Source organism: Homo sapiens, chromosome 3 (assembly GCF_000001405.40).
Source record: "Homo sapiens chromosome 3, GRCh38.p14 Primary Assembly".
Taxonomy (NCBI): Eukaryota; Metazoa; Chordata; class Mammalia; order Primates; family Hominidae; genus Homo; species Homo sapiens.
This window is the reverse complement of record NC_000003.12, coordinates 192,718,166-192,727,639: the sequence shown is the minus strand read 5'-3', so window position 1 is coordinate 192,727,639 and position 9,474 is coordinate 192,718,166. Positions and strand designations below refer to the sequence as shown.

The following is a 9,474-nucleotide window of genomic DNA, read 5'->3' as shown; positions in this document are numbered from 1 at the left end:
GGAGGCGGTGAAAAGGGGAGGGGGGACGCCCTGCGCATGCGTGCCAGCGCCCATGCAAATCTGCTGTGCATCCAGAGAGCAAAGTGGGATGATCTGTCACTACACCTGCAGCACCACGCTCGGAGGACAGCTCCTGCCTGCAGCTTCCAGACCCAGGTAAAAAAAAAAAAAAAAAAATCTGAGCGGGCACTGTGCATGCATTTCAGTATCAGATGCGCGTCGCAACGTATCCCCTGTAGAGGCAATCTGCTGCTGCTCCTAAGTGTCCTTTGGTGGCTGATTGCAGCTTCAAGGTTTAAGAAATCCCATCTTTCAGGAAGCCTGAGGGGAAGGAAGGAAGTACGGGCGAAATCATCAGATTGGCTTCCCAGATTTGGGAATCTGAAGCGGGCCCACATCTTCCGGCCAACTTCCATTGAACTTCCCAGCACTCGAAAGGGACCGAAATGGAGAGCAAAGGTATGTGGTTGTCCCTATCGGGGGACTTCCCGCTGCATGTGCGTGTGGCCAAGGCAATCCTCGGCGAGGGGACTGCAGTGCTTGGGGAGCGAGCATCATACTAGGTCGATAGAGGAGGAGATGCTATGTCCATTGCAGCACTGGGGAAGTGTGGCAGGAAGGCGACTTCTTTTTAACTCCCACAGCTTGGAAGACAGTGTTTAATACTCCATCAGTTGCGTAGTGAACTGTGATGAGTTTTTTGGGGGGAGGTGGGGAGAGTCCCCCCAAAATGGAGGAGGAGGAGGAGGTATGTGTTAGTAAAGCAATATCTTTTCTGTATAATGGATGGACTCAAATAAATCTATTTCATTTGCTTTAGAATTGCTGACAGGCACGTTTGTACCTGATATCCAATAATGCATTGCTAAAAAAAAAATGTTTGAATTTCACCACCCCCACCTCATGAAGATGGTATTTCTGGGTGTGTATGACCACATCCTACTGCATTTTGAATATATATCAGCAGAGAAATTGGGTCTATTTGGAACAGCATGCGTTAGAACTGACCTCTAAGAAGAACAGTGTATGGGAGTACTGCTTGGCTTCCAAGCATAATGCATTTACTAGTTCTGGACATGTACATATTAATGTTCTCCTCATAAGCAAATCTGCATAATGTATGCATGCCAACTGATAAATGAACTGTAAAAATCAACTTCTGAATGGCATATTGAACACACATAAACACAACGACTATTCTAACCACAAGATTAGATATCTTTTGGATTTAACCCCATCTATGCAGGTCTGTTTCTCCTTCTCCTTAAAACGCCCACCAGGTTGTGAGAGCCTTGAGTGATATGGTGGTCAGATATCCAGGAGGCATACTGGATGTATTTAATTCTGGCGAAATCAGAAGAAATGATGTCAACTTTTATGAAACTATATTCATTACCCAGAACTCGGGAAGCTATATTTGAAACAAGATTTTATTTTTAAACCAGGAATGTCAGTCACTGTGGTAATGTACTTAGGATCAGGGAATGGTGGTGAGTTACCTATTTCTGGGCTGATTAATGAAACTGGAGTGTTGAATGATAGCAGTTCTATGTTCAATAAAGTGTTTTAAGTATTTAATTGGTAGATTTAAAGTATTTGAACCTAGGCAAGCATTTATAGTATAAAAAGAGCTGAATCAACATGGATTAAGACTAGCAGGCAATTTTCAGTTCAGGCAGATTATTCTTATGATACATTGATGGGCATCTCCACGTCTGACAATGATGTACACATATGAGAGAATCCATGTCTATAAGTATATTTGAGGCATATATTATTAACTCTATTATACTCCATTTTAAAATAAAAAGGCAGTCCTTAACATATAAAGGTTTGTAATATTCTAGCTGACTAAGTATTTCTGGGACATAAGGTTAACAACAGAAAAAGAATATCATTTTACTATGAAACAGTTTTTCTTGCTTAGATGACACCTGGTATTTGGTCACTAAATTTAGTTATTTGACAAAGGTTCTTGGTAACAGTTTTGCCTCCAATGTGTATACTAATTCCTGTTCAATCATAAAAAGAGGCTATATCTCTCGGCAGTAATCTTTTATTTTCCTTCGTTGCCCATAAAACATGCTACGTGTCACTTAGCATTCCAGGTGGTTTAATGATCATATTGCTAACAGTAGAGTTCTAGCTGTTCTTTCAGTCTTTTGAATTCAGAAAGGAGAAAGAATCTCAGAAATACATCCGAAAAGAATCAGTTCAGAAGTTCTATGTCAATCCAGACAGCAATGATATAGTGAATCACAGCACTGATCCAAAGGCAACGAAGACTTTTGCTGTAGGCCAACATTGTGGTCATTTTGCAGAGGTCCCATAATTGCCTCTGAAAAAAAAAAAAAACATGATGAAAGTCTTTATGCATGTTAGTTCCTGGACTTTCTTAATGAAGCTGTGTTAGCTGCTTGGCAATCAGATTAAAAATGGCTAATTACTTATACATTGGCCTCACTTTCTAAGTTGGTGCAAATGGCACAGCTAACGATGGTAGCTAACTTGAAATTTTTATTCCAGCCAAAAAGAGTGTATTAAGAGAAATGTGTATTTGTGCAATACTGTAATTGGTGCATCTTTCACATTTTATGCTGCCGTGTACAAACTTCTTCCCCCAACAGATTCAAATCTAATTCTAGGAAGACATTCTCAAATGTATGTATATATAATACTTTTCTAGTAGAAACTCTTTAAAGATAGAGTCATATTGCGTGACTCAGTTGAGGGTTCAAGAGTTCTCTATCCCATACCCAGATCTAATGGCCTGTTTAATCTTGAATCCCATCGCCAACACTTGACAACTTTCACATTACCTCTAGCATTTGACAGCCTTTCTTAGAGCATTTGTCCAGCATCCAGAAAGTTGAACTTCAGCTATTTACAAATAAGATCAATTTATTTTTGCTTCCTTATTTACAACTTTGCATCACTCCCTGTCATACAGGGTAAAGAAGAGAGGAAAATACATCAGTTGACCTGAGGTTCAATTCATGATCTAATTTCAGCGATTTTTGTGCACCATGTACTTAACATTGTCTCAAAGATTTGGGTTGGTACGCAGTCCGAGCAGCTCTGACGGAATTTGTGCCTTGCGTATCTTAAGGGCTTGAGATTCTTAAATGAGTTAAAATGTTTAGTATTTAGAGGAGTGGTTCACAAAGTTTGCTGCACACTAGAATCACCTGACATACTTTCTGAACATACTCATCCTGAGATGGCACCGCATACCAATGAAATTAGAATATTGGGGTGGAAGAAAAAAGCATATATGTTTCCTTTAGAGGTCCCTATGTACAGCAGTGTTTGGAAACCACTGATTTAGACTCTTGATAGTCAAAATGTGGTTTGCAGACAAATTTTTTAGAACTGCAGAATCTCCATATTTACTCCAGGTCTATTGAGTCAGAATTAGAATTTTGACAAAGTACCTAGGCAATTTGTATGCACATTAATGTTTGAGAAGCATGATTTGGAGTGAGGAAACAGGCTTTTTCCTTCCTTTCCTCCTTCCTTCCTTCCTTCTTTCCTTCCTTCCTTTCTTCCTTCCTTCCTTTCTTCCTTCCTTCTTTCCCTCTTCCCTCCCTTTCCCTTCCTCCCTTTCTCCCTCCCTTTTCCCTTCCTCCCTTTCTTCCTTCCCCCTCCCTCCCTTCCTCTCCTCCCCTCCCCTCCTTCCTCTCCTCCCCTCCCCTCCTTTCCTCTTCCCTCCTTTCTCCCCTATTCTCCCCTCCCCTTTCCTCTCCTCTCCTCTCCTCTCCTCTCTCTCTCTCTCTCACACACACACACACACTCTCACCTCCCACTGACCCCCACCTATATCACATTTTTCTTTGTCTAGGTAGATTTCCAGCCTCAAGCTGGCATACTACCTATAGAAACACCTGTAGAGCTTTTCAAATGTAAAGATGCTTAGGCCATACCCCTAATAATGTGAGTTTAATTAGTTCTGGGGTGGGATCTGGGCATAAGTAGTTTTAAATGGCTCCCAAGTGATGCTAATGGATGGCCAGAGTTAACCACTGATGTAGGGCATTACTGCTGGTGGTCCACAGACCAGCAGCATTTGCATCACCTGGGAGCTTGTTAGAAATGCAGAATCTCAGTCCCTACACCACATCTACCAAATCAAATCTGGATTTCAACAAAATCTAATGGTCATTTCTATGCACTTTAACATTTAAGAAGCACTGGTGTAGATCTCAGGGAACTGATTGCACCTGAGAATGAATGACACCACTCCAGGCACCTCAGTAGAGAAGATTTGATATTATCTGTCTAATCATTATGAAGGCTCATGGATATGTGATCATGTTCTAGGTCTTCTGGTTGTTTTTGGATACAACAAAAATGAAATGAAAAAGAAACTGCGTGATCTAACTCATAGTTAGATCAGAAAACAAACTTACTTTTAAATACCCTTGCTGCTCATCCTCCAATCACTTACTTTCAACCCCCAATTACCCTAAATATTTATTCTCTACATTCATTTTAAGCTCCTGACAAAGTCTGCTGTTAACTCATGGTAATGTGATGATATTTGACTACTTAAATCAAGGCACTTCTAAACAGAGTGAATATAGTTTTATCCTTTTCTATTGTCATACCTCTCTGTTCAACCCTTTTGAGATTCCTATGACCTAAGTACTCGTTTGTCCCTCACATACTGCGTTTCTTACAGTCAACATTGTAATTTTTGTGCTTTTTATTTAAACAAATATTTATTGAGCATCTGATATGTACCCAATGTGCTTATTTCTGAGAATGTGAAAGAAAACTAAGATGCAATCTCTGAACTTGACAATTTCACTCTTCTATCTTCACTAATATATTAACCTTCTCGTGGGCAAAATCTGAGCCTTTAACATTCCAGCAACCACCTAAGTGTCTATCTCAGGTAGAATATTTAAGTTTGCATAGTAGGGATTCGAATTATATGCGTTGGATAGCCTTAATTAGTTTTTTTAGGCCAACTTCATGGATCCAGAAGATTGTAAGTTGGGAGAAGTGTGGGAAACTTAGCTACCAGGAGGGCTCCCAGAAACATCAGTGTGATTCCAGAACATGGAAGGGAGTAATTTGACCCACTCTCTCAAGAGAGACCTGCACATGTATTTCCAAGGAAGATTCAATTCTTTGTTCTAGATTTCATACCAGCCATCAGAGTTCAGTCAGGGCCATGAACCAACACACTTAAGGTATAGAACAGTCATTTCTCTGAAGCCAGGATGATTTACTCTGCAGCAGAGAAAGGAAATGTCTATGCAATCATTAGTATATCAGAACTGGAAAGCGATTTTAAGAAGAGCCATTTTGTGGTTAAACAATAACAACAACAATAATAAAAGACTGAGCCAGTATAGTGAGATAAGTAAAACATAATTCAGTAAAATCATGATGTATAGTCACTGAGTGTAGGAAATACAGTTTCTTACTCCACCTGTCATGGTGTAAATTTGGACAAATCTTTTCCTCTTTGGGTCTCAAGATTCTTAAATATCAAAGGGGGTCCAGTTCATTTAATTTAAAATACCGAGTTGCCACATTGTTCCAGGCACATTATTAAATGTGGGGGACAGAGGTATAAATAGTTTATTGACTTGCCCTCTAAAAGCTTACAATGTAGGGATATATGAACAGGATCAAGAGCTGTTGATTTCTAGCATTTTATGTGTCTTCTCCATTCATCTTTCAGAGTTCTAGTAGGTTATCCGGGAGGCTAGAATATAAAGTCTTACAGTGATTAATGAGCTCCAAAGAGGCACTTAACATTCCACAGCAATAATTCCTGCCTTTTGTTTCCCCTTTGGTTTATTTAAACAAAATTATTGTGTGGGAGAACATTTGAACTCAAGCTATGTATCTACTATAAAAGCTATTCCACCTGACTAGCTACCTGCCTAACCTGTTTCTTGCTTTAGGTTATTATGAGGCTTGTTACCCTCAGTAATAGGTCTGGGGGAGGCCAACCTACTTGCCATTCCCTTATCCTTTTTCTTTTGTGCTTTTAAGTTTTTGAAGTACCAACCTTATTAGGTTTGGTGTTTTGTGCTACTGATTGACCAATAATGGTTTATTGCATCTCTTAATATTGGGTTTCCTGATTTGTCACATATTTACACCCATAAATAACGTTCGTGAAACACTTTGTACTTTTTCAAAAGGCTTTTAATATATACAATCTCCCTTAAAACCCTGTGATTTGGCATTTTAACTTTATTTTATAGATAACAAAACAAAGGATCATAAAGACTAAATGACTTAGGCAACTCATCTTACCTCTGTTTCTCTGCAAAATAAAAATTCTTATACCCATCCCAAGTGCTGTACCATAATATCATGATTATGAAATAAAACTCATGCTAATAAAGTATTTAGAACTCTTTAGAATTATAATCTGACTTTCATCATTTTTAGCTGTATCTCTCTTTACACTAGACTGTGAGATCCTGGATGGTAGAAATTGGTCCTCTGCCATTTTTGTAGTTTTAGCAGCAAGTATACTGCACGACACTCAATAAATCACCCTTCATTAACTCCCACAAAAACTTCACTTTACCAAAAGGGATTTCTTGTGTGCTTATTCTACAGTTTTAATAGTAACGTCTCCAACACCTGAATTTGTCTCTACATCTTATGGGTTTGGGGATGGAGATATATTGAGTCAAGTATTACACCTTGGATGGGTTTAAAACATAAACTGTGTAAATTCTGGCCACTAACAATGGTCTTAATCGGGGTACATCTCAGAACCACCAGACATCCTGTAATACCTGCAAGTCAGATATTTAAGAAACACTCAGGTGATGATGTATGTCCTCAATTATGAATCCATCGATAAGCTCCAAGATGGTTACTAGGAAACTATAACACATACATGTGTTCTTTATCAGGAGCACTATAGGACTTCTACTGCCTGGGCCTTGTCTTTTATTACCACCCTCTTTAGTGTTAAGAGAGTGTGTGTAGAAGAGAGATTTCATTTCTGTACTACAGACTTGGGATTGAAAATAGATATGCAAAATAGATGGCAAGAGTTTGAGGCTAAGATGACATGCCATTTTCCCCAGCATCATCTTCCTCATCTCCTTATTAGCATCCTTGCATGCAGAGCACGGTAGGATTTTTTAAGGATCTATGTCAATAGTTCTAATTTTAGCTTTCTCATCTCTCCAGTTACTTTTTGAAATAGTCTCTGTCTCCTTGTCTTTGGGAATGTGAGACTCCCACCCAGGGAGGCCGTGGTATTTAACTGCTGCGATGCTGCTGATGGCACCTAGGCAGAAGTCCCAAAGGACACCTGTTGCCCCTTCACAGATCTTTTCTTTTTTCTTTAGCGCATACTCTGCCTGGCTTTTTACCTGAAACAAGCCCCATTACTAATGATTGAAAAAGCACACATAATTGAAAGTGGGACTTTAAACTACGTGATAGAAGTAAAGGCATGCTGCCATTCTGTGGTTAGGTTTTTGTTTCTTTCTTGTTTGTGGATTGGCCATTAGCCTGAGAAGCAACCCAAAGGGACTAGACTGCAGAAAAAGAATCCAGAAACTTTCAGAGGCTGTTCAGAAGATAACTAAATGCACCAAAGAGTCCTTTACCAAGCAGGCAGGAAGAGGCAGCAATGCCAATCTCTCCCTACCTCATTCACTTCTACAATTATCACCCACGTGAAACAGGTTTTCCTCGAATCCTCCAGTACTGATAGCACTCTAACAGATTGAACAAACCTCAACACAGGTAATTTGGGAAATTTCTTTTCAGATACTTGGGAACTGAAAAATCTAGATATGCTTCCTGCTTCAAAATGTGTTGGGTTGTTTTTCTTGTTTTTCTTTTTTTTTTTTTTTTTTGCCCTTAGTCTCTTTCACATATTATAATAAATTGGGGTTAGATACTCTACAAACAAGACTATTATATAAGATTTATTATATGATCATTCTAATTGTTTAAATCTGGAAAATTTAAAATTAGACTATTTACACATTTTATCTAAAGGCTTTTCCTTCATTTCAAAACATGTTCAACATTTCTAGCACTATTTAAAATTGAATTTGGTTTACTTCTTTCTTCTGGGATTTAAAAGAGAAATATTTGCTATGTATCAAGATAAAGGTTTTCATGTAAATCACTCTTTATTTTCAAGCCTACAAATAACTTAACATGAGATGAAATGAGTACTTTTTTACTATGGGCTTTGATTTGCATCAGCATAAAAAACAAACGATTATGCAAATATAGCAAGACCCTCAATAACAATAACGTAAACATGAAGGAGACAACTAAAGCAATAGCACAGACCAATCAGTGCCAGTCTTTTAAAATGAGACCATTGGTTGATTGATTCAATAAGCAGTATTTCCTTAGAACCTGCTGTTTGTTAGCTGTTCTAAGGCTGAGCTTTTCTAACTGTAGTATGCACACTGGTGGAATTATGACATTGTATACTCTGGTGATACACTGAGGCATAAAATACACATGGTGCATGTTCCAATGAAATATAACTAATATTCTAATGTATTAATCTAACAGACTACTTAGATTATTCTAATCTAATCTATTAAATGCTAGAAGATCTGGGATCAGGTTCTCGTTCTTCTATTCCATGGATGAACCTCAGTGTACTAAACCTCTCTCTCTTTTTTTTTTTTAACTCGGTTTGCCCATTATTGATTTTTATTTTCTTGTTACAAAGAAATTGTTATTTTAAGCTTGTTTGTATTCTTTCTTGATCCTCTTTAGGCTTAACTTCTACAGAAAATAAACAGGGTGATCATAATTACCACATCAAATTTTAAGGACTCAGTGTGGGTTTGAGCTAGCTTTTTAATGCTGTGAATTGTGCAACTGAAGTTGTTGGATTTATAACTTTATTGAGGAATTAATTTGATTCTGAGTGAGAAAGCACTAAGAGGAAAAAAGTGCTACTTGGCTAAAGTTTGTATATGGCATGATTGTGACCACATAGGTAACAGGTTCATGTCTAAATTGATGGATGGCTGCAGTGGCCTTGTGGAAAAGACGCTGTCTTGGGGATCCGGAGACCTGGATTTGAATCCTAATTCCCGCCCCATCTTCAGTTTGAGCTCGTGGCTTTCTTTCTATGGCCTTGTTCTTCATCTGCAAAACAAGAGTGGATTAGAGGCAAGATTCTTTTCACTTCTGGGATTGAAAGAACCAGCATTTGTGAAGTGTTTATATAGGAACTACAGTGGATACATTCTGTTTAAAGATTTATGATCAGCTGCTTGTTCTCTCCTATCTCTTTTGGCGAACTTGATGGCATTTTTGCTTAGCAGATTGTACATTATGTTTTTATAACGTCTTTTCTTCACCCTCATATGTGTCCTCTTTACAATTAAGATGAGTTTATTTATACAACAGTCATATGTGAAGTTGATTTGGTGGATATGGTTTTCTTCTCTCTGCCAGCCCTAACCAGCACCTTCTTGCTAAAAAAAAAAAAAAAAAAAA

General features: G+C 38.4%; 1 protein-coding gene across 3 annotated transcripts in view; it reads left to right on the top strand.

The window, feature by feature from the left end:
• Window positions 99-9,474, top strand: part of FGF12 (fibroblast growth factor 12) — a 588,152-nt gene continuing 578,776 nt past the window's right edge. For 2 of the 3 annotated variants that reach the window (NM_001377292.1, NM_004113.6), the window contains exons 1-2: window positions 99-156; window positions 317-459. In NM_001377292.1, coding sequence (NP_001364221.1) covers window positions 447-459 — 13 coding nt within the window. In that variant the 5' untranslated portion in view covers window positions 99-156; window positions 317-446. The remainder of the gene's footprint in view (window positions 157-316; window positions 460-9,474) is intronic. The other variant, NM_001377293.1, reaches the window with a different exon arrangement.